Here is a 25,051-nt window from a genome sequence, read left to right as displayed (position 1 = left end):
TTGCTTCTTCAAGTCAATTTTTCAAGGGAGATATTGGAGAGAAATCAAATTAATTCACTTTAATTTCATGTACTTTGTTTTTTCCTCCTGTCTCGGTGCTGGAAGTCTCAGGCAGATCAAACTGACCAGAATTTCACTGCAGGCAGGAAGAAGTGGGAGGCCTGTGGATGATAATCTGTTGTCTGCCTCTGGTTAATTGAGAATGAAGGTCTTAGGTCAAACAAATGACTTTGTTCTTTGCTCTTTCACTGCATAACAGGTATTCCAGAGTTTCTGGAATACCCACTGGTTGAGGAGCTCAGTTATTTCCCACTTGAATAAAGGGACAGTACACAGGTACCGTGTAGTTATTTCAAAGTCTCCTCTTTTGTTTTTTTAACTGATTGCCTACAATGAATTTTTATTCCTCCTTTATTCCTCTCCTAAATAAGTAGGCAGATAGAGCTAGCTTTTAAGGTAAAAATATTGATGTAGACTTAATGATTTTACCAGATAAAATTTGAGGGTGATGGGGTATACTTTAAAATAAAACAACTAGATTATTCATTGAATATATGCTGAAGAAATATGCGAACTATGTGCTAGGCATTAGGATAGAAAGCTAAAAACTGCTGCTCTCTGCTGAGGAAGAGCCCATGGTCAGGCTGGGCAGTGGCTACACAGTGCCGCAGACGTTCCAAGAATGCGGCGCAGGATAATATATAGACCACTGGAATGGAACTGATAGTCCAGAAATAAAGCCACACATTTGTGGTTCCCATACATACCCCACTGACCTTCACTGCTGAACTACTGGTTTGTTCTGATTTTTCAGATTGTGCATTCAGGATGCTAAATGATTTTGAAAACAATTACCCAGCCCTGCCTGTCAGTCTCCTACACGTTTGTTTTTTTATCTCAGCTGAGATCATAGGGCTATTAGGTAAATGTTACGTGGCTCCACCTACCATACTCCAGCCCAGATTGGGGATCTACAGCTGCCTGGGGATGGGGCTTGGTTTTATGTAAGGGATGATGCTATACCAGGGTCCTTAGGGAAGAAAGTTGGGACTTCCTGGCTCACTCATCATGCAGACTTCCCATTACTAAGTGTAGTGAGTCAAACTGTGTCCCTCCCTGGACTACATGTCATGGGCCTATTAGCAGACCAGAAATCCTTCAGATGCAGGTGTTGCCTGAGTCATTGATACTAGTTTTATAACAAAATCACAGTACGTACAAAGTCATATCCCATTAACATCTTTCTTCAAATGAAAAGCTCTTTCTCAGAGGTACGAGCCCTCAAGTGTTAAACTAATTCTGCAATACCAGCTTTCCCTGATCTCCATATTAAATTACTGCATCTGTAATATGGGGTGAGTGTGTGTTCTAGGAGTATGGGTTCTTCCCAACCTGGCTCTAGTTTGGTGGTTAGTTGTAAGTCACTCATTTGCATGTGTTTAGCTATTTTAATGATTGTCATGTGTAACTTGTTCAGTGGTAAAGATCAAAAGTAGTAAAATTGCAAACAAGATAACAAAGTCTCCTATTTTCCTATCCTTGGGACCTAGCACATAGTATATGCATACTACTGAATGATAGATTCAATGAGTGAATGATTATAAAGAAAATTATACACCCAAACAAAGCAGAATGGTAGCAAAAACAACATATACCCTATTGGTAGGAATTTACTTAAGGTGATTTGGCAAAGGTAAGCAGAACAATTTGACTCTGATTTCACGGTTTCTTTGTGTGAAGCCAGTGCCTTTGGTTTGAGCAGATGCAGTTTGGGGCTAGCTGACTTACCTTTTGATCTCCTTCGATTCCTTTTAGATTAGTGTGATTCTAAAGTACCAAACCGTGAAATAGGAAGATTAATGTTTTTACTCCCATTTAAATTGCAAACCTTTTATTCTTCCTACCACGTTTAACTCTATTCTCTCAGGACCTTGCTACCCATAGGCAGCCGCTGACACCTCTGATGAGCTAGTTGGTGTTCCCCAGGAATGGACACCTTAGTGTGGTCCTTTAAGATGCAATTCTCCAACTCAAGAAAATGAATACTCACCTCCAAGGTTGAGAGGGTGTTGTTTGGGCCAGGTGAGGTCCTGAGCCCTCCTCTGCCATGGGGGCTGGCCACCTTGTGTTCTTTGGTTTATTTTCTCTTCTCAGAAATCCTGAAAGGAGCTCTTTTCTGTTAAAAACATCTTCTTAGGCAAGACCAAACCAGTTTGAATGTTTATGAACAATTTCTCAGCATTATGCCAGTGTCCGATGATGAAAACTGTTGGCTTTATTACCTTCAAGGGTGTTTTCCCTACTGGCCTCTGAAGCTGGCCTCTGCTGCGTTGGTCTTGTAACACTTCCATGAGAGACTGCTCAGCACTCCCAGGCAGATGGCATTGATTAGAAATCTCTAAAGATTGTCTTTGTTCTCACAATTAAGCAGAGTTTGCTGCCTTTTAAAATGTTTATGTATAATCTGTGCTTAACTGGCCTGGGTGTTGCTACCAGACTTAAGTAATGGACACATCAAATAGCTGGTATTCTTACTAGATTCTTTTTTTTTTTTTTTTTTTTTTGAGATGGAGTCTCGCTCTCTTGCCCAGGCTGGAGTGCAGTGGTGCTATCTCGGCTCACTGCAACCTCCACCTCCCAGGTTCAAGTGATTCTCCTGCCTCAGCCTCCTGAGTAGCTGGGATTACAGATGCCTGCCTCCATGCCCGGCTAATTTTTTGTATTTTTAGTAGAGACGGGGTTTCACCATGTTGGCCAGGATGGTCTCGATCTCCTGACCTTGTGATCCACCCACCTCGGCCTCCCAAAGCACTGGAATTACAGGCATGAACCACCGTGTCCAGCCTCTTACTAGATTCTTATACATAAGAAGCAGATACATGGTGATAAGGAATGAGTAAATGTGTTTGGAAAATAGGACAGGAATACTTTGCAAAAGTTTTGGCATTAGACAGAGATAGTTCAGTGGAAAATATGTCTTCTTTTGGGTTGTACAGTGTTAATATAAAAATTATACTAATAGTAAATCATTCCCTTTTGTCCCCATCACCAGGGGAAAACACAGCTTGGAAAGTAAAGAAGATTTTTTGTTATTGTTTTATCATGCCGTTTAGAAGCTAAATGAAGAAGACAAAGTATTTATAGTATCAGATAAGAAGTTGCTCTGGTAATTATTATTTTATACTTGTAGTTCCTTGATGCCCAGAAAATTTATTTTCATTGTCTTTCTGGCTAACCAAGGGCATCACTGTCCCCCATAACCTTTGTCTGAACTCCTTGTCCCTTATCTCCCTCCTGAGAAAGTCCTGGGGTAAGTAATTATCTCCCAAGCTCAGATTTTCAGTGGAGTTCATGTAAGCACGTTACTGGAAATGACAAGTGCACAAAAGTGATAGATGCTACTGTTATTTTTCTGACAGAGTGGCAAGGAGAGAGTTCAACCTGTTCCTTAATTTGGTTTATTCATTATGATTTTATTAGCACTCGTGATCTTAAGGCCTAGAAAGCTCTAAAGGAGGAGGTAATATTTCATAAGTTTTAAGGAACTTGGTCCAAATCATCATTTGATTTTAACAAGCTGTTCATTTTCTTTTTTTAATACTGGAATAAATTCTAGCCAGGAGATAGTATCAAAAGGAATAGCTCTACTGGTTTAAAAAAGATGGCCCATTTATTGAATGTCTCCAATGTGTGTTGTGCTATATTAATGCTATGTAGTCAACAATGTTAAGGTTAGGTATTTTATCTACATTTTTCAACTGAAACAAATTGATTTTTAGAGAGTTTACGTAACTTACTCAAATTCACACAGTTGGTAGGGGACACAGCTAACTCTGAACATAATCTGTTAGATGTCATCACTTTTGTAGGAGATTGGTGACTGATACCAATTGGCAACAGTGATTAATAAATGGCATTTATTAATGTCTGAATATCTTAATGTGTTTTTGGCTTTTATTGTTAATCCTTTTTGAAAAAGACAAGGCTCATATCAAGTTGCTTACTGCTAATTATAAACTAGGTAGTTTATATTATGCTTCCTGGATATAACATCCGTGTTTTAAATATCGATTGATTGCTCTGTATGTGTGTGTGTTTGTGTTTGTGTGTGTGTTTTAATGTGTTCTCTTTAGTTTTAAGACAAGCAGAAGTCTGCCTATAGCAGACCCTCATTCATAAGGAAGATAAAATAAGGAACATTAGGGTCAGGATTTAGGATGGATGGGTCATTCTCCAAAGTGCTTTTCTGAATAATAAAGACATGTTTGCCTGTTTCATTTTACACGCACACTTAATAGGTAGTAGGGCTAGAATTCTAGCCCATGTCTGTCTGACATCAGTGACTATGCACTTTTCACTAGGTTGGACTGTCCTTATAAAAAATGATTCTAATAATTTCAGTAAGTTTGTTTATCATAGTGTCATTTTGCCCAGAAATTACCTATAATACAAAGCACAACTTAAAACTATCTTTTTAAGGATATAGCAGTTGGGTGCCCTCATTCAGCAAACATAATCTAATGAGGACCTGCTAAGTGCCTGACACTTAGGATTTAAGGGCCTGGAATCCCAAAGCTGAGTTCATACATTCAGCAGATACTCTTTGAGCACCCACTACATGCCATGCACTATTCTAGATGCCTGGGATACAACAGAGGGGATATGATAACTAAAAATCCCCCACTTCCTGGGGCTTAGAGCCTCTGATGGGAGGAGACAGTAAAAACCAAAGTAAGCAGCTGAAGTAGGTAGCGTATTGGACTAGTGATGGGTATTAGGGAGAAAAGGGGGCAGGAAACGGGGACAGAGCCAGGAGGGGTAGACAGGGAAGGCCTCGCTGAGAAGGAGAATCTGAGCAAAGACTTGAACACAGTGGGTGAATAAGCCAAGGAAGACATATGTTCCAGGCAAGAATAGCAAATGTAGAGGCCTCGGGTGGGAGGAGTGGTGGGGAGGACGCTGAGAAGGGAACAGAAGTAGATGATGAGGGCGTTGGAGTAGCGCTCTTTCAGGCCAGCGTATCCAGACAGTGGAGCTTACTCTAAGGGAAATGCAGAGTCATTGGAGGATTTTGAGCCAAGACGTGACATGTTTTTATTTATATTGTAAAAGGATCAACCTGGCTGTTGTGTGAAAAACACAGTACAGAGAGTGCAGAGGTAGGGAGACCAGTTGGGAGGTACACTGGAGTAACTGGGCAAGCAGTTACTGGATGGTGAGGTGGTAGGCGAGGAGAAGGCGTGATGGCTAGTGGTGGAAGTAATGTGGCGGGGTAGGCTGGGGCAGAGGTGAGGGTGTGGCAGGGAGGGGTGGAGGTGAAGTTACGGCTAGTAGTGTTGGAAGTGAAGGTATGCAGAGAAGGGGTGGAGATGAAGGTATGGTAGGGAGGGTAAGAGGTGAAGGTGTGGAGGGTGGGGATGGAGGTGAAGGTGTGGAGGGTAGGGGTGGAGGTGAAGGTGTGGAAGGTAGGGGTGGAGGTGAAGGTGTGGAGGGAAGGGGTGGAGGTGAAGGTGTAGAGGGAAGGGGTGGAGGTGAAGGTGTGGAGGGAAGGGGTGGAGGTGAAGGTGTGGAGGGAAGGGGTGGAGGTGAAGGTGTGGATGGTAGGGGTGGAGGTGAAGGTGTGGAGGGAAGGGGTGGAGGTGAAGGAGTGGAGAGTAGGGGTGGAGGTGAAGGTGTGGATGGTAGGGGTGGAGGTGAAGGTGTGGACCATAGAGGTGGAGGTGAAGGTGTGGAGAGTAGGGGTGGAGGTGAAGGTATGGTGGGGAGGGTAAGAGCTGAAGGTGTGGAGGGTAGGGGTGGAGGTGAAAGTGTGGAGGGTAGGGGTGGAGATGAAGGTGTGGAGGGCAGAGGAGGAGATGTAGGTGTGGGGAGGCAGGGGTTTAGGTGGAGGTCTGGTGAAGGGGGACAGAGGCGAAAGCGTGGAGGTGATGAGATGATCACATTCTGGAGATATTCTGAAGGTAGAGCCACAGGATTTGCTGAAGGACCATGTGGTGCATGAGGAAAAGTTACTTCTTGATGTTTTTGTTGGTTTGTATTTTCTTTGGCGTCAGACTCTGGGAGGATGGATTGATTGACTGTTCTGGAAGACTCAGGGATGCCCTGGTTTGGGGAGAAACTTCAAGTGTTCACTTTTGGACATCATAGGTTTGATGTAGACTTTTAGTCAACAGAAAAGAAAATCCCGCACTTGTCCTTAAGACTCTTAGGTCTGGTGGCAGAATGACAGATGCATGGTCATAGGGATACATATGCCTGCACTGGATGGAGGAGACCGTTTCATGGGGCAGAGGGAACTTGGGCAAGACTGCTGAGTGAAGGTGGTGTTGGAGCGAGCTTTGAAGTATAGGGTTAAGGAGTGCTTGGGGAAATGGGTGGACTGGGGGCTTCTAAACACAGAAGCAGCACAGCACGTTCAAGGGCACTGGAGACTTAGAAGCTCACTCAGCACCTGGAGCACTGCAGGTCATTGGGTCATTCATGACTGTTGAAGCTCGTGTGGTGAGGATGAAGATGAGGCTTGGGAATCAGGAGTAGCGGAGGACACCTGTGGTTGCCTTTACTGTTGTATGAAGGAGAAGTCAGTGATGGGGGACAACTGAAAATACTTCATTTCTTAGAAAGAAATAGCTTGTCGATTCCACAGCTGCCAGGACCCAGCTGGAGAGGAATGCCAGTAGAAAACAATAGAGCAGATGCTCATCTGTGGCCCTATTTGGTTACTCTTTTATACTCTTTTTCCAACCAGTGTTTCTCAAGCTGTAAAAATGCTGGGTTCCTAGTCCCTAGTTGTGCTAAAGTATATCATAGACTGAATTTGGTGAATGGCCCTTGAAATCCCTTTGGACTCACTGCCGGTCCCACTCCTGTGTGACTCTGAAAAGCTCAACAGGGCTGTCTGGGTGAAAAGAAAAGAATACAGTGAAGATATTATGAGAAGATAATTGGACAGATTTTCTTGACATTCAGGATTGAGTATATAAGAGATTTGATCTAAAATAAAATTTCTCAGGTTCTAGAAATTACCTGGGGAAAAAATTAAAAAAAAAATCTGTTAGATGACCAAGACCCCAACTCAGGGTGAGTGTTCAGCAAGGTTTTGTGGAGTTGAACTGAAAGTCCTGGGTAAGGTCTGGATAGGTGTCCAGATTGGAGTTGTCACTAAGGCTGAAACTGAAGGTAGCTGGGAATTATCATTAGCAAAGTTCTATTGTTCCCCCTTTCCTGTGCAGGCTTCTCTCTTTTTCTCTCCTATTCTCCTCAATGGCAAGCCTATTCCAATTAAAGGGAGGCACTTCTTTGGAAAGAAGAGGAAATAAGATGTTTTCAGCAATAATCATTACTAATATAGGTGGAGAATATCCTTACCACATATGATTACCTAATATTCTTCTCAAGAGAGATTGAGCATGACTGAGATGGAAAAATATCTCCATTGTGAAATATAGCTTGAAATGAGTAGTGCATCTTATTAACCTTAAGATCTTAAAATTCAAGAGTGTAGTCAGCATATACCTTCCAAATAAACCAGAAAAACAAAATGGCATATCCATCTATGAAACACAGAAAGCATTAAAATTGCTGTACCAACTTTGTCATAGTAATCAAAATATGCACGAATTGATAGCCTTGACTAGGGAATGGTCTTTTGTTTTCTACTTGTCATTTCTGTCTTCAAATGCAGCTATTCAGTAGCTTTGAGGTGGAGAGGGGCCAGTGGTTGGCAAACTTTAGTTTGTGGAAGAATCACCTGTGTGCTTATTAAAAGTGCAGATAATGCGATCTCACCACTCTCATTCCAGGCTGCATTTTAGAATCCTACAGTAGCTTTTAAAAATGACCTGTGCCTGGAGCCTTCCATCAGAGACACTGTTTGAATTGGTGGACGTGGAACCCAGGCATGTGTGCTGTGGAGATTCTGTACACCTGCACTTAACATGTTTTTTTCGGGCACTCCGGATGCTCCTGCTCCAAGTGGTCTGAGTTTCATCCTCTGCAGACCTTAATTCTTCACTGATTTGCTCCATTTGCTAAATAGTGGCATCCAGTTACGTTAATGTAGGATGAATAGTTAGGTGTATTTCAGATGTATTAAATTATATTATAATTAACTTTTTCTATAAAAAACTAAGTTAAGACAGTAGAATGGCCACCTAGCCAAAAGAGTATTTTAAAAAAAGTGATAAATATAATTTGACTACTATTCATCTCTAAGAAGAAATACTTTCTTGGTTTGATTTCTCCTAATCATAAAAATAGTACTTTTGTAGAAAATCTAAAAAAGTGAGTCAACCATCCAGAGGTGATCACTCTTTGACATTTTGACTTATCACTTAAGTCTCTCTTTTCATGGTGGGTCTGGATGTGGAAAACCGTGGGCTTGATCTGCAGCCTCGCCAGGGTTAGTAGCTAGTGTTACCCTCTCCAGCTGTCTGGCGTCTGATGGTGGCTCACCTCTTCCCTCCAAAAGAACTACCTCCCTTTCTCAGGGAATAGTTTGATCTGTCTTCCTCTGTATCCTCATTTTTTCCTATTTTAGGTCAGAAACTCAAGTGGGGGCCCAGGAAGCTCTCATCTAGCCCCAAACTTGTGACACTTTCCAGGACAGACAGAGCTCCCTGGGAAAATGTGTTGGGACCAATGTTGTCCACTCTTCCCAGTCTCTGTTTCGCTTCGAGCGGCACCCCTCCTTTTCAGCTTCTCCTCTTCTGGACCTGGTTCCATGCATGTTTGAGGAACCCTCTGAACAGAAGAGTTTAAAATAAGGCATCAGTGTGGCTTCTTTACTTAACCACATATAAAGCTTCCACTTAGACAGATTTACTTTGTGTTCATTTTAAATAGACGAGCTAAAGGATTTAAAACTAATTTCATTGTGAAAACTACAGTAGTTAAAAAAATTATCAATATACAAAGTGAAGCAGGGTTTGCTGTGATTAAACCTTAGAAAAATACCTAGACACAAAGAACCTATAAAAAATTTTAAAAGATGAACTGCATTTCAGCCTTTCAGGTTTTTTTTTTTTCCAAATTTATTTCTGAGTTAGTCTCCTTTGAACTGGAAATATGTGGATTCAAAAATTGAAAGAGCTATTTATTGGCTTTGTTGCCCAATGGAGACAAAGAATTTAAAATGGAACATCACACCTGTAGCTGTTCTGTCACTTTTGTCCATTGTGTGGGACATTCAACTCCCGTAGTCAGAATATCAGAAGGCAGCCCCAACCACAGGGCCGTCCTTTTATCTGCTGAGCCACCTCAGAGGCAGGAGGCAGGAGGCAGGAGGCAGGAGGCAGGAGGGAAGATGGCGACTGAGCCAGCTGTCTCTTAACGCTTTCATAACAGAGTATTTGAGGCATAAATGGGGAGCCCTTTCAGTGCTACAGGCCCACAGTGAACAGCCCTGGAGTAAGGAATCCTCTCATCAGCACCTTCAGAGAACTTGATGAGGCACTGCTTTCAGGCGACTCATTTGTGTGCCAGGGAGACCTTTGAAAGAACATTCTTTATAGTCTCCATCCATTGCTGGTGAAGAGATAAAAGTGGATGCATTACAGTAAAAACAGAATAATTAAACACTTGGCCTCACATTTGTATTGAAGGATGAAAAAAAATGCCAACAGTCTGTCAGACTCTCCAAGAATGCCAGAAGAGTCCTCCATTTCCTCCCTCTGTAAGAATTGTGATAAATTCTATTGTGAACACTTAGTTAATTAATTGTGGGGCAACAAAGTCAATGATATAGAACTGTGGGGAAAACCAAATTCCATTAATTTGGCTTTGGGCTACAGAAATGGCCTAGAAAATGTTGAGATCGAAAGGAGTGGGTAACTGATCAAGTTTAGCATATTCTATATGAGGGAGAGTTGAAAGCTATTAATTGGTGTTCGTTTCTGTTTAGTGCAGTATACCATAAAACAGCCAAGGGGCTTTAGGGGTCAGATTGAATTAGATCCCATTTCCCAAGATATCATTTGTAGACTTGTGACTTAGGACACATTTAGGTTAAATGAAGCTGATACATTCATTCATTCATTCATTCATTCATTCATTTAAATACTTAATGACCCCCAGTCTGCTGATAATGGTTACTTGGTAGGATTTTATAAGTATTAAATAGAAACAATAATAGAATACCTGGAATTTTTCTATGTATTTTATTTCTTTTCTGTAGCGATAGAATTGGCTTTTTATCATATTTCTTTATTGATTTGATCAAACATTATTCATGCTGTGTGAGTCTTCAGTACTCACCTCCTGGCACTCCTTTAAAAGGCAAGATACAAATATTTACAGGCAGCTTGTCTTCCTGGATCCCTAAAAGTTCCTACTCCCCCTCCTTTGTTTTCTTTCTTGTTCTCACCACACGTTCTTACAGTGACTAGTTTTGGGGACCTGCATGAAGCTTACCATTAGGAGGTAACCACAGAGATAAAAGCCTTGAGACATGTGTGCAGTTACAGAAAATGTCCAGGGCAGCTCCTTGTTCTGCTGTTCGTTTGAATTTACAGGGCTCCTAGAAATAAGTACTGTACTGTACTGTTACATTCATGAGATGCAGAAACACAGACTGTTCATTCATTCATTATTTGTTTAGGGCTTATTTGTATGTAAAATTCTCCTGGACAGACAGGGAATTAGAAGCACGGATTATTTGTGCCCAGGTCATTTTGAGACAGCCATTTTTGTTGTTCTCTCTGTCCTTCACCCCGTGGTACTGGCACCTACAAAGCGAAACCTGAATCGTGGATTCTTGGCCAAATATCCCCAGATAGCAGACAGTATATTGCCCCCTCGCTAAGGCATAAAGTTGGAGTTTTTTGCCATAACCTTTTCCCTATTTTTAAAATTAGTGTTTCTGTGAAAGAGAGACCCATTTCAGAAGGAGTTGGAGAGCTCTTATTTGGTGGTGGATGACTGTACAAAGAGTCTGACTCTGTTTTAATTTATTCACTCTCTGTGGTTCACACCTCCTTTCTCACAGATGCAGAGTCAGATGTTGGGGAATAGAAAAATATGCTCCTGAATTAAGGTGCCAAAGATATCTTTTTGCTAATAAGTTCTTCTCTGAATAGAATTGGCGAAGAATATAGATAAAATATGCTACCTTTTTCTCTCTCCTCTTTTGATTTTAGCAAAGGAATGCTTGGAAATTTTAAACAGGGTTGGACATTTATATCTTGAAAGGTACTGACTTCTTATCAATTTGAGGTTTCCCACTAATAACAGCTTCAAAATCGTAACTGATTAAAATGTAGGCTCAGTCTGTTTTAAAGCTTAAAGCCGCCATAGTGGAAAGTTATGAGTTATTGAGCCTCGAAAAGCAGACTCAGTGCCATTCATGTTTTCTGTAGAAACAACAGTGAGCGTTTATTTTTTGTTTCCCAGGAATAAATGTCAACCTGTGACAGAATGACAGGATCTTAAAGATTCACACTAGATTAACTTTTTCAGCAAAGGAAGACACTAGTGTTGTAATGCCATATATATATATATATATACACACACATAGTAAGTATGTAGTAGGGAATATAGTCTTTAAAACAAAGTTTTTTTTTTATTTTGAGACAGAGTCTTGCTCTGTCGCCCAGGCTTGAGTGCAGTGGTGCGATCTGGGCTCACTGCAAGCTCCGCCTCCCAGGTTCACGCCATTGTCCTGCCTCAGCCTTCCAAGTAGCTGGGACTACAGGCGCCCGCCACCACGCCCGGCTAATTTTTTTGTATTTTTTTTGGTAGAGATACGGTTTCACTGTGTTAGCCAGGATGGTCTTGATCTCCTGACCTCGTGATCCACCCACATTGGCCCCTCAAAGTGCTGGGATTACAGGTATGAGCCACCGCACCCAGCCAAAACAAAGTATAATTTTACAAAAATTTGAATTGATTAATATTTGACTTACAGTGAGTAAAAGGATAAGGTGGCATATTGGCAACATGCAACTGTAGGTGATCCCATAAAGCAATACCTTTGATAAATTGCCCAGTTCTGAAAGAGGAATAGGAGGTGAAGAGTAGTACCGCATACCAATGTACATGACTTGTGTGGGATAAACAGCTCTGTTATTGGAGGCAGAACTCAGATTTAATTCTTGATGCTGTGCTCCTTATCCTGTGACTTAGGCGAGTTGTTCACTAACCTGGCTGAACCCCTGTCCTGTTGGGGTGAGCTGAGCATGTAGAGAGCAGGAGGGAGGTGACTAACTAACATCCCCACCTGTGTCTTCCGAGTGACTAGCTTCCTTTATGTTCTCAGGCGTCATCCCTGTTTAACTAAAAAGTAATCACACCATCACACATGGCTTATAGAGAATTATTTCTGTCAAACTCATGAAGATCCTGTGCATTTTAGACACAACTTTCCTTTTAGGGAACCATTAGGGAGGATATGATCAGATTTGTTTAAAGTTTAGTTAAGAAGCAAATATGCAGTATTTAAATTATGCCTGGCACATTGAGGGCACAATGGCAGTTTCTTCTTCACAAAGGGTGATTTACGGTTAACAGAAAATGGAGAAAATAGTTGCTATATTTAGTTTATTCGCTCACTCTTTCCAGGATTCGGTTTAACATAAGGGCTGAATACTTTTGCTCTTATGTATATCATTGATGCTCTGAAATGTCCACTTTGATTTGATTTTTTTGCTTAAAACCTCAAGGATGCTGTTGTGAGGGTGCCTTTGCTAAGGGAAATGATGTCATCAGTTCTGAAGTCCATTTTCTTTTTTTTTTTTTTTTTGAGATGGAGTCTCGCTCTTGTTACCCAGGCAGGAGTTCAGTGGTGCTATCTCGGCTCACTGCAACCTCCACCTCCCAGGTTCAAGTGATTCTCATTACTCAGCCTCCCAAGTAGCTGGGATTACAGGTGCCCGTGACCACACCCAGGTGATATTTGTATTTTTAGTAGAGATGGGGTTTCACCATGTTGGCCAGGCTAGTCTTGAACTTCTTACCTCAGGTGATCCACCCGCCTCAGCCTCCCAAAGTGTTGGAATTACAGGCGTGAGCCACGGCGCCCAGCCGTCTGAACTCCATTTTAATGATAGGGAACACTAATGAACTGCTATAAGCACAGCTATCAGGAAGCTCAATTGGAATATTTGTGTTAACTCCTGGAAAAATTTTTTTTAGCAGTTTTGTATCTTGGGAACAAGTATTTCTGCTGTGTTTAGAACAATATGTGAAAATGCTTGTCAAGTGAAAAAGTTTAAGTATGTTCTGGGAAACACTGCCCTGTGCTTAGTGAGGTGGTTCTAAGTCCAACCCAGGGCAAGGCAGGATTCACGTGTAGACTAATAGCACTAACAGAATTCTTGTACAGACCACATAGAAACTTTAATAGCAAGTTTCTGATAATGGCAGCATCAGTGATAGTCACGTTAAAATTTTACGGAGACTAAAATTCTCTGCCAAATTATGTCGAAACAAATGTGTAAGTACAGATGTCATTTATCCATTAGTTGGGTTCTCAGATGAAGTCTAGAAGCACATTCTCTACTCAAGAGTCCAAACATATTCATGTTAATCTGTTTTAAATTTGCTTTTTTGGAAGACTGGAGCTGTCACTTAAACCACAGGAATATATCCATTATAAATGAAGGCAGGCATTACTTTTCACCTGAACTGGATGATTTTTAGAAGTATTGCTGATGATATCGGGTTCATGAATGATTTCCCGTGTTAAAGGTGATGGAGCATCCAGTCTAGAAGAATAATTGTTGAAACTTGACGCTTGTTTGTTGGTAGTCTCCCTGCCTTAGGGCCTATTGGAAACAATATTTTTGCCACTAGGGATCCCTGTGTTTTAAGAGACCTAACACTTGTGGGAGCTTTGTCCTACCAGCTTCGTACATTTCTCATCTCTCACCAAAGCTGCAGTGAGAGCTTCTGATGGGTGCTGGACAGGCACCACTTACCTTCGTTCCCTCACCTGCTACCTTGCTCTGGCATTTTCCCTCACCTGGACTGTTGCCATCCCCTAGTCACTGGGTCCCCTGCTCCTACTTGCACCTGCACTCAGAAGCCAGAATGACCTTTTAAAAGCATCCATAAGACCCTATCATTCCTCACCTCAGAATGCTCCACTGCATTTAAAATAAAATCCAGCTCTGCAAACCCATGGGATCTGACCCCTCCTCATATCTACCTTATCTTGTACCCCTCTTCCTCACACCCCCTGCATTCCAGCTACCCTGGCCTTCTTTTCATTCCTTGCCCAAGCCTGGGCAATCATCTTCCTCACAGGCTTTATCGCCACTGTGCGTATCTGCATATGGCAGATTCTTCTTGATATTTCAACACTGGTTAAATTTTTCCTTCTTGGAGAAGCCTTCCCTAACCATCCAGTCTAGAGCAGCCAGCTATTTCCTTTAAGTGGGTTATTTAACAGCATCTATCTCTGACACTTTTTATTTCTTTTCCTCCTCCAATTAGAATGTAGGCTCCACTACAGCAGAGACCTTGTTCATCTTTATCTGATGTATCCCTAGGCCTCAAAACAGCTGTTCAGGAAATGTTTGTTAAAGGAATGTATTAATGAATGAAGCAATGATGTAGCCAGTATTTCTAAGTTAATTGATAAGTTTCCAACATAAAGCAAAAAAGCCTTGTCAGTGTGTACAGCCATGTCACTGCTGAATGTACACTTTCCTTTAAAATAGCAAAACGAAATCTTAGATAATCAGGCCTCCTTTGCTGAACCTCTGAAGTTCAGGAATCCTAGTCTGGGAACTTCCTTGCTTTTGACAGAGTGTTCACAGTGCAGAGATCCTAGAACAGAATTTGAATTGGTTCTTCTGCCACTCCCTCAATAGACTTAATTTGCAAGTAGTTTTGCCCCCAGGGGAACCCTGCCTCTCCTATTAATACTGTCACTGAACTCTATTAAAGTTCTCTGCTAACATAGGTCCCCTTCCTTGAGTAGGGGCATCAGCTGCTTCCTTTGCTTATTAAAATGTATTTGGGTACATGTGGGATCAACCAAAGATTCTTGGTGTTTCAGAAGCATAGGCAAATTTATGCGCTGGCATTTGGTACCTGTTGGATTTGGAAACATGAACATATAGTGGTAAGGTGGATGCTTCCATAGTCACCATATCTCTCTCTATATATTCTAAACTATATTTGTTGATTTTTCTGCTCACGCATAGAAGATCTAAACATTTTTGAACTTAAAAGCTAAAAGCTTACTGCAGATAAACCAGATTTTCCCAATCTATTAAGTGTTTTTTTCAACTTTTTCAGGTTATCTGTGTAAAGTATTGCTTCAGTGAACTAAATAAAACCTTTATAGACTCAAATAGTTAATGAAGCCTTCAGCCTGACCCACACAGTGGTGGGAGAGGTCTGTGCTTGCTACAGGGCTGGCGGCTGCCTGCCCTCAGACCTTTATGCCCTTGGGCCTTGTCAGTAGGATCAGGTAGTATCTGTCTTCACTTCGCAACATTTCTTTAGATTTCTTGCTGTGAATATAACAGTGTCTTTGGTTCTCAGGAATCCTAGAATTTTGGAATTTTAGAACAGAAAGGGAAGCCACGTTCTGTTAAGGTCACAGAGCATATGGCAGAGTTGGGCGCGGAACCCACTTTTCCTGCCCCGTCACAGTGCCTCCCTGCGCTCTTATTTATTCCTGATTTCCCTTGTATCTTTCTGAAGTAGCCTGTGATGTTTGTGTCTAAAGTTTAAAACTAGTTGTCTTGAGACTGAAAGTTAGTGATTTTTTTTTTTTTTAATCAGACAAGTGTTCTTTCCTGTGAAAATCCTTTCTGTCCCCACAGACTTGGTTAAAGCCCCCTCTCTGGGCTGTGTTCTCAACACCCTGGGCATGGTGCTTGGCTTGCTTCTTGAGGTAACCTGTCTGAATGTGCATTCCTTGAAGCAGGGGACTGGGGCCTGTGGCCTTACTGTTTCATTTAGTTTTTTTTTTTTTTTTTTTAAGTTTCCAATACTGATTTGTAAATGTGCAATTCTGTTATGAAATCTTTGTCTCCATATTGATGAATCTTGGTAACCCTTTGCAGATTTACAGTGGCCATTGTGAGATTAATTTTTGAATTATTATGTCTTCATAAAAATCCTGACTTTCTGCTTCTTACATAATCTTAAAAAGTCAGTCAGCTCCACAGGAGCTGGTGTATTGGCCTTCAAGATTTGAACTTAGCATGGCCAAAAAGCTTGTTTTTTACAAACCATCAGAATTGTCCCTGCATCTCAACCCTTTATTGTCAACTTTTTGAAGATATTTAATAATGACCAGTCCTGAATTTTACCATTTGGTACTTTGAGGAGTAACTTGTCCCGGCTGCCCCTTCAGGGCCTGTGTGGTCTCTGAGTTTGGCCTAGCTTTGAGCTGAAACAATGGAGAAGCCCAGTTAATGCTTTCTGAGGTTCCCATGTCTGCCAGATGATCCCTGAGTAACAAGATGATGTCTCCTTAGCGAGGGTCAGGCGGCCTTGCAGGACCTGCCTGTGTCCGTCTCGCTCTCAATCCCTTTTCCTCACCTCTCATCACTCTCACGCACCCCTTCCTTCCTGCTACATCAGACCATGTAACCTCACGCAAGTAAGTGCATGCGATCCTCCATGCTGTTCTGCTTTTGCTTGATTGGAATCCTCTGCCTAGAACTTTTTCCATTCTTTCTTTTACTGTTTCTTTTTTTTTTTGGGTGGGGGGAGGGTGGATGGAGTTTCACTCTTGTCACCCAGGCTGGAGTGCAATGGCATCATCTCAGCTCACTGCAACCTCTGCCTCCCCGGTTCAAGCGATTCTCCTGCCTCAGCCTCCCGAGTAGGTGGGGTTACAGGTGCCCACCGCATACACAGCTAATTTTTGTACTTTTAGTAGAGATGGGGTTTCGCCATGTTGGCCAGGCTGGTCTTGAACTCCTGACCTCAGAGGATCCACCCGACTTGGCCTTCCAAAGTGTTGGGATTACAGGCGTGAGCCACTGCACCCAGCCTCTTCTACTGTTTCTTTAAACACAACTCAGGAGGTGATATTGCCAAGAGTGAGGTGGATTGGAGTTAGGCATAGGGAGGGAAGTGCTGTCCCAGTCCCAGCATGAGCCTCTGGACAGATGGAGGCCACCTGCTGCAATGGGGAGGACAGGAGTCAAGCAGATTGGGGGGTTGGCAGCAGGCAGGGGGTGGTGCAGAGATCAAAGGTTTGGATGGAAAAATGTTCGGTTTTAGGTGCTTCTGAGATATCCAGGTAAAGAAGTGAGAAGAAGAGTTGTATTTATGGATCTGAAGCTCAGTGAGAGGTCACAAAATTTGGAATTGTCATTGTATTTGAAATGAAGTGGATGAGCTCTCCAAGAAAGAGAATTTAAAGAGTGAGATGGATTTGTAAAGAATTGTGAAGTTTAGAAATAGAATATGAGAAATGGGATATGCAGAGACAAGTGGAAATGAGGAAGAGTAGCCAGAAAAGATAGAAGGAAACCAAGAGGGTGTCAAACCTGGAGAACTGAAAGATGAGGAGGGGTGCCACCTAGGATTGACTGGCTTGTGGGGAGGTCATGGTCACCTTAGCGAAGTTACTAGAATTATGAGGAATATACTGAAGTGTGAGTGAGTGGGAGGATGTGGTGACAGCATGAGAAGAAAATTCCTTCCAGAAGCTTGGCACCACAGAAAAGTAGAGAGGTAGGGCCCTACTAGAGGGAGTAGGAGAGTGGAAAGTGAGACCAACAGCAGGTTGTTTTGGTTTCTTTTTGGGATTTTCTTTTTGGATGGATGATACTAGGGCATTTTTTTTTCATGCAAATAGAAAAAATTCAGTAGAAGGGCCAAAGAATATTACTGTCTTCTAGTTTGCTAGCAACTGATGGTTTTTAGCAGACTGGTGGATAGTACTCTATAGTCACAAATACTTATGTTAAGTAAGACCCACTTCTCCTATAAATTTACACTTGAAATATAAAAGAAAAAAAGGTTGATGTTAAAAAGTTTGTCCATTTGAGTCCTATATACTCGTTAGACAGGTAAATGGTACGAAGACGTTTTCTTTTATGAAATGCTTTGTTATTCTGTAGGAATCCTGTCTTACACATAAATGACAGAAATTTATATTAAGCATTTTCCTTCACTAAATCTTTAGTTTGTGTCTTTTCATAAAATGCCACTGAATTTTTATGTCAGCAAGAGAGGTAGATAAATTTGAATACAGAAACTAATTTAGCAGTCATTTAGTTAGGAGATGGAGATTTTAGAGCTGCCACTTCTAAAAGTGGAAAAGATGAGGATTAACTGACTTTTTTTTCTTGCTTCTGTGGAATAAAAAATTAGAGCTGAAAAGGAACAAAGCCCAAAATGCATGGCAATGACCGTCTTTTTATAGGTGAATTAGATTGGGGATTGTGAAGATGATTTCATTCACACCTGCACATGCATCCTTTGAAGCTCATTACCATTTCTTTTGGTGTTCATTTAATAAATATATTCCTGAGAGAGGGATATTGAAATATGATTTACGTTTCTTTAAAAAAAAATTAAGGACTCCTCTTGCCATCTGCCTAGCATACTTATGAATGTCCTTACCCCAACTTTTAGGATTTGGAGTTTCCAGGAATCCAAACCTTTAAAGCCTGAGCAAAACACAATTTTAAGGTAAATTTAGTATAAGGAAAGGACAGTTTCAGTCAAAACTAAGCATAAATACATTTTGTCTCACTTTCTGTTTGGGATTTCAAGTGATGATGTTTGCTTCCAGTAACCCAAATAATTGGCAGATAGTTTCGTGCAAAGTGAACCTATCAGAAGAGAAGGGAACCTTGGAAAACAATAGTCTTTAGTTAGTTGGAAAGGGAAAGCTGTGATTTTAAATGGCAGCACCATCCTAGAAAGCAAGGAATGAGTATAAGAAAAAGAACCAAAGCAATGTAAATATCTTGAAAATCTAGTTTAAAAGAAATGTTTTGGCATTTGGGTTTAAGAGTGAAGGAGAACACTAAAAGCTTATTAAAATAACGAGTTAAAGTTAGGCATATTATATTGTATTGTATTTATTTTTTTGAGACCGAGTCTCTCTGTGTCACCCAGGCTGGAGTGCAGTGGTGCAATCTCGGCTCACTGCAAATTCTGCCTCCTAGGTTCAAGCAATTCTTGTGCCTCAGCCTTCCTAGTAGCTAGGATTACAGGCAAGCACCACCACGCCTGGTTAATTTTTGTATTTTTAGTAGAGACAGGGTTTTACCATGTTGTTCAGGCTGGTCCTGAACTCCTTACCTCAAGTGATCCACCCGCCTCGGCCTCCCAAAGTCCTGGGATTACAGGTGTAAGCCACTGCGCCCAGCCAGACATATTGTATTTAGATGTTGATATTAGTTTGCCATTAAAAATCAGGTTATTGCTTGCTTACATTGGTATATGGGTGGGGAAGAGGAAACAAGTTTTGAAATAGAATTTGCTGATCTAGGCCATCCATACTGGTTTATTTGTAGGAATAATAAGAGCTTATGTCCTTTGAGAAATGTGGAATTAGATATTGATTCTAGTGAGATTCCAGCATTAAAAAAGACGTACATTTTAAAGTTTTATTACTTTATCTCTCAGTAGCCTTGACAGTTTTATTTTATTAAAAGTGGCCAAAATGGCAACAATTTGCATTTATTATATTATGCCTATAGTGCTGGAAAATTAATATACCTAGGAAATATATGACAAGGGCATAGTAGATGATTTTGAGGTATGAGCTGCTGTGAGTTGTGTGATATACAACAGGTAAGGTATTATATGGTACAGTCATAGATGGTAATGGTACATTATTTTATTCTTTAGATTGTTGGTAGGTGGTTGTTGGGCTCTATCCATTTTACATTTTTATTTAGCTTGTGTACTGCTGGCTCTCTGCTTTGGTGATGGTCCTGGATTTAAGACAAAAGCAGGTGCAAAACGGTTTCCCGACTAGGCTGATAACACTAAAATCATGGGATATTCATTTGCTCAGGAAATAGAATAAGCAATTTCCTGAGCAAATGAACACAAGCTAAAGTTGTTGATTTCTGCCTTACGTCACAGTCCAGAGTAGGTGGGTCATGGTCCATGAGGTCATCCAGAGACCCGTGCTGGAAGGGGTGGCTCTGTCATTCCCCTGAATGTGACATGTCCAGGACTGGGTTTAAGACCTGCACATCCAGCCAGTGGGAAAGGGAAATCTAGGGTGAGTGGCTTTGTCTTTATGAAGATGACCTAAACATTGAGTGCATTTTTCTTCTGTTGTCTCCTTGGTCCAGTCTTAATCCACAGCCACAGCTCATTGTAGTCTCAGGCTGGGTGCAGAGGCACCTGCTAGATCTGAAAGCTTAGTTACCAAAAGAAGATGAAGAAAATGGATTCCAGAGAGCATATTTCCGGCACAGACTAGGAGCTCCTTGAGATGGGGGGTAGTGGTTACAACAGATGAATCTCTGTTTCTAAACCACAAGCAGTGCTTGGCTTATATTTGGTACTCAGTAAGTGTTTGGTGGGTTGAATTGACTATTAAAGCTAATCCTTTCCCTTCCAAAAGATGGAGTTTGATCAGAAGCTCTAAATTCTGCAGCCCTCCACAACCTTTCCTCCTCCTCTACTGTTTTCTCTATATATTTATGCCACTTTCCAGGATAAGCATACAAAAGAAAATATAATATTTACTTTTAAGATTTGCTCGAAAATCTAAAATGTATTATAACAGGAAAAAAGAAAGTCTGTTCATTTTATTTGCATCACTACCTTTCTCTGTATTCAGACTCGATATTTATATATGCTTTGGGCAACTAAGCACATGCCAAATTGATATGTCTCTTTTATTCAACAGAAAGAATATCTGGTGATTGTGAAAGTAACCCTAAATAGAAAACCCAGATATAGCATTTAGTTTATAACCTAGATTGGTATTTGTGATGCTCCCTTTTCTTCAAATTATTAAACATATTTTTATATATATTGTGAAGATAGGAACTAAGAGTTACTAGTTTTATTTTTGCACAATTCTATATTATACCAATTATATAATTTGCCTAAAGCACTACACTAGTCCTTTGCTCATACTTTTACTATAAAATTATAATTAGGAAGGGAAATTGTATGACAATAATGAGATATTTGTACTTGAGATACTTACTCCATATACCTAAGGTAAGTAATTGCTTAAAATGACATGGGATCTACTTGGCGTAATAGCAGCTCTCTTGCTGCTTAGAGCAAAAATCTGCTTTAAAAACATTGTGGCATATCTTATTAGTAGGAGAAAAAAATGTAATAGCAAGAAATAAGTTATTTAGGTATTATCACGTTCAGTGTCCTCATTTGGCACATGTGGAAACTGAGGCACGAAATCCTGAAACATCTTGACTTGCAATCTTTGGGAAGATGTTCATATTTTAGAAGGTCTTTTTAAAGGATGTATCAGCAGATTATTATATATTAAGATCTGTTGTTTGAGTTCCCTATGAGATATGAGATAAATTTACCTTTCAACACTCAATGGAAATAGGGGGAAGCCAGGAAGAAGATGAGAATTAACTTGGGAGGGAAGGAGAGGTGATCCTGCCTGTGCCCCTGCAGCTATGGCCAGTGGGACAGATCCCGAGTCCCTGAAGAAGCTGCTGTTGTAGCTCAGTTGCTAACTCAAAGAGGGATAACTGGATTAAGAGAAATCACATGGGAAAGGCATTTGTTCCTTGAAGTATCTGTAGATTCAGGGGGTTGGGAGGGCCCCTGTATAGAGATAGGAAGGGGGAGGGAAATGAGAAAGAATGTCTGCTTCCGTTATTAAATCATCCTTCCAAGGGATTGAAATATATATGCAGGTGATACAGCAAATTTTTTTAATTGAATGTAAGATATTTAATTATTATGACATTTCTTTAATGTCATTTAACAATCCGTTGTGGCAAAAATCTAATAGGAATAAAGCCTGTGATCATTACAGATCAACTTTTCCTCCTAGATAAATGTTAGTTTTGAGTGCCTGGTGGGCACCCATCTCAGTGGTGAAGTTGACAAGTCATCTGTCCAGTGTGTGGAATAGGATGGGGTTTGGTAGCATCTCCCTCTCTGTGGTTCTCTTGAGCCTTTCACGGTGAGCATCCTAGTTTTCTTGCAGAGGGAAGGTAGTGGCACGGAGTGACCTGCTCTTCCCTTTTTTCTGCTTGCAGAACAATCAACCATGACGACCGAATCTGGATCAGACTCGGAATCCAAGCCGGACCAGGAGGCCGAGCCCCAGGAGGCGGCGGGGGCGCAGGGGCGCGCGGGGGCGCCCGTGCCGGAGCCGCCCAAGGAGGAGCAGCAGCAGGCCCTGGAGCAGTTCGCCGCCGCTGCAGCGCACAGCACCCCGGTGCGGAGGGAGGTGAGCCCAGGCCAGAAAACTAATGACGCAGTGTTTGCTGAGCTGCTCCAGGATCGGCTTTAACCTTGGTCTCTTAGCCCTAGAGGCAGCTATGAGGGGTCATCTGCTGTTCCCCTTCTAGCCCCAGGCAGATGAAAATGTATGCTATTTTAAGGCTTTCAGTGAATGACATTCCACAACCTTGCTTGGTAACTCCTTCTTTTAATTAAAACACTGAAACTCACTGAAGTCCAGACTGGAGATTATTGGTCCTATCTGGATTTAGAGGAAAGATAGACACCAAACTGAGAGCTTTAATTATGCTTGTGGTTGCTTTTTCTTTCAAGTCTAAGGGCTAGAGTGAGTTTGCATTTCCCCAGGCATCACCCTGGCCCTAATATTGCAGATCTGCTTTTATTATTATTATTATTATTATTATCATCATCATCATCATTATTATTATACTTTAAGCTCTGGGACACATGTGCAGAACGTGCAGGTTTGTTACATAGGTATACACGTGCCATGGTGGTTTGCTGCACCCATCAATCCATCATCTACATTAGGTATTTCTCCTAATGCTATCCCTCCCCTAGCCCCCCAGTCCCCGACAGGCCCCAGTGTGTGATGTTCCCCTCCCTACGTCCATGTGTTCTCATTGTTCGACTCCCACTTATGAGTGAGAACATGCGGTGTTTGGTTTTCTGTTCCTGTGTTAGTTTGCTAAGAATGATGGTTTCCATCCATGTCCTGAAAAGGACATGAACTCATCCTTTTTTATAGCTGCATAGTATTCCATGGTTTCTTAGTGGATCTTCAGGTAGGTCTTTCCCTCCCTATACACATCTACATTTTCAACTCTTTTTCCCTGTACATGTTTGAGTAGTCAGGAATAATGCATTACTTTTAAAAGTTTTAAAGTATGGTTTTACATGTGGGCCTTGAATAAGTCCATATTTAAATGTCTTTTGTCTTAAAACTTCAAACTTGGAATCAAAATGTTTTAGAGTGCCGATTTGTATGTGGTAAAGCAATCTGGAGTCCCCACAAGTGATTGGCCTCTTATATGTCAGAAGTGTTTCAAACTAGAAATTCTAAGATGTTGAGATAAGAGATATAATCAGCATATTAGTGAAAATCTTTGGAAGTCACAGCATTAAACTGTATATTTGCAACCTGATTATTTTATTTCTTTACCTAGAGTATTTGCAGGTTTGCCTTTTTTTTTTTTCAATTTTATACTTATTAAAAATTTGAGGCCGGGCTCAGTGGCTCATGCCTGTAATCCCAGGACTTTTGGGAGGCTTAGGAGGGCGGATCACCTGAGGTCAGGAGTTTGAGACAGCCGGGCCCAATACAAAAATTAGCTGAGTGTGGTGGTGCACGTCTGTAATCCCAGCTGTTAGGGAGGCTGAGGCACGAGAATCACTTGAACCCAGGAAGTGGAGATTTCAGTGAGCCGAGATTACACCACTGCCCTCCAGACTGGGCGACAGAGCAAGACTCTGTCTCAAAAAAAAAAAAAATTTGAGGTAAAATATACAAATAAAACTTACTATCTTTTTTAAGTGTACAGTTCAGTGGTAATAAGTACATTTATATTTTTATATAAAAAATATATATATTATATTTTGTATATATGTATATTTTTTAAAAATTCCCTTCATCACTCCTCCTCCCTACCATCCTCCCTATCCTTCCCAGCCTCACGTAATCACCATTCTACTCCCCATCTTCATGAGATTCCATTTTAGCCCCCACATATGAGTGAGAAGATGCAGTATTTGTCTTTTGGTGCTTGGCTTATTTCACTTAACGTAACAGCCTGTAGTTCCATCCGTGTTGGTGCAGATGACAAGATTTCATTCCTTTTTTATGGCTGAATAATATTTCATTGGGTGTATATACCACTTTCTAAAAATTCATTCTTCTGTTGATGGGCACTTAGGTTGATTTCATATTTTGGCTGCTATGAATAGTGCTGCAGTAAACACTGGAGTGCAGATGGCTTTTCTATATATTGATTTCCTTTCTTCTGGACATATATCCAGTAATGGAATTGCTGGATCATATGATAGTTCTATTTTTAGTTTTCAAGGAACCTCCATACTGTTTTTCACAGTGGCTGTATGAATTTACATTTCCACTAGCAGTTTATGAGGATTCTCCTTTCCCCACATCCTTGCCAGCATCTATTACTGCCTGTCTTTTTGATATATGCCATTTTAACTGGGGTGAGATGATATCTCAATTGTGGTCTTGATTTGCATTTCTCTGATAATTAGTGATATTGAGCATTTTTTCATATACCTGTTGGCCATTTGTGTGTCTTCTTTTGAGAAATATCTGTTCAGATCTTTTGTCAATTTTTAAATCTCATTTCTCTTGCTATTGAGTTGTTTGAGTTCCTTAGATATTGTGGTTAATAATCCCTTGTCAGGTAGACACTTTGCAAATTTTTTCTACTATCCTGTAGGCTCTTTGTTAATTTTTTCCTTTGTGGTACAGTAGTTTTTTGGCTGCATGTAATCCCATTTGTCTATTTTTGTTTTGATTACCTATGCTTTTGAAGTCTTATACACAAAAAAAACTTTGCTCAGACCAACCTCCTGGAGCATTTCCTCAGTGTTTTCTTCTAGTGGTTTCATAGTTACAGGTCTTACATTTTTAATTCTTTAATCCATTTTTATTTGATTTCTGTGGATGGTGAGAAATAGGGGTCTAATTTCATTGGTCTCATAC

General features: G+C 41.0%; 1 protein-coding gene across 61 annotated transcripts in view; it reads left to right on the top strand.

Moving 5' to 3' along the window:
• EPB41L3 (erythrocyte membrane protein band 4.1 like 3) overlaps positions 1-25,051 on the top strand; it is a 238,278-nt gene that overhangs the window by 119,333 nt on the left and 93,894 nt on the right. For 45 of the 61 annotated variants that reach the window (XM_047437382.1, NM_001384696.1, NM_001384692.1 and 42 more), the window contains one exon: positions 22,137-22,330. In XM_047437382.1, the coding sequence (XP_047293338.1) occupies positions 22,148-22,330 (183 nt within the window). In that variant the 5' untranslated portion in view covers positions 22,137-22,147. Of the gene's footprint in view, positions 1-22,136; positions 22,331-25,051 lie in introns of those variants that run through there. The other 16 variants (NM_001384702.1, NM_001384706.1, NM_001384705.1 and 13 more) reach the window with 1 other exon arrangement.

This window comes from Homo sapiens, chromosome 18 (genome assembly GCF_000001405.40).
Source record: "Homo sapiens chromosome 18, GRCh38.p14 Primary Assembly".
Lineage (NCBI taxonomy): Eukaryota > Metazoa > Chordata > Mammalia > Primates > Hominidae > Homo > Homo sapiens.
This window is presented reverse-complemented; position numbering and strand designations above follow the sequence as displayed.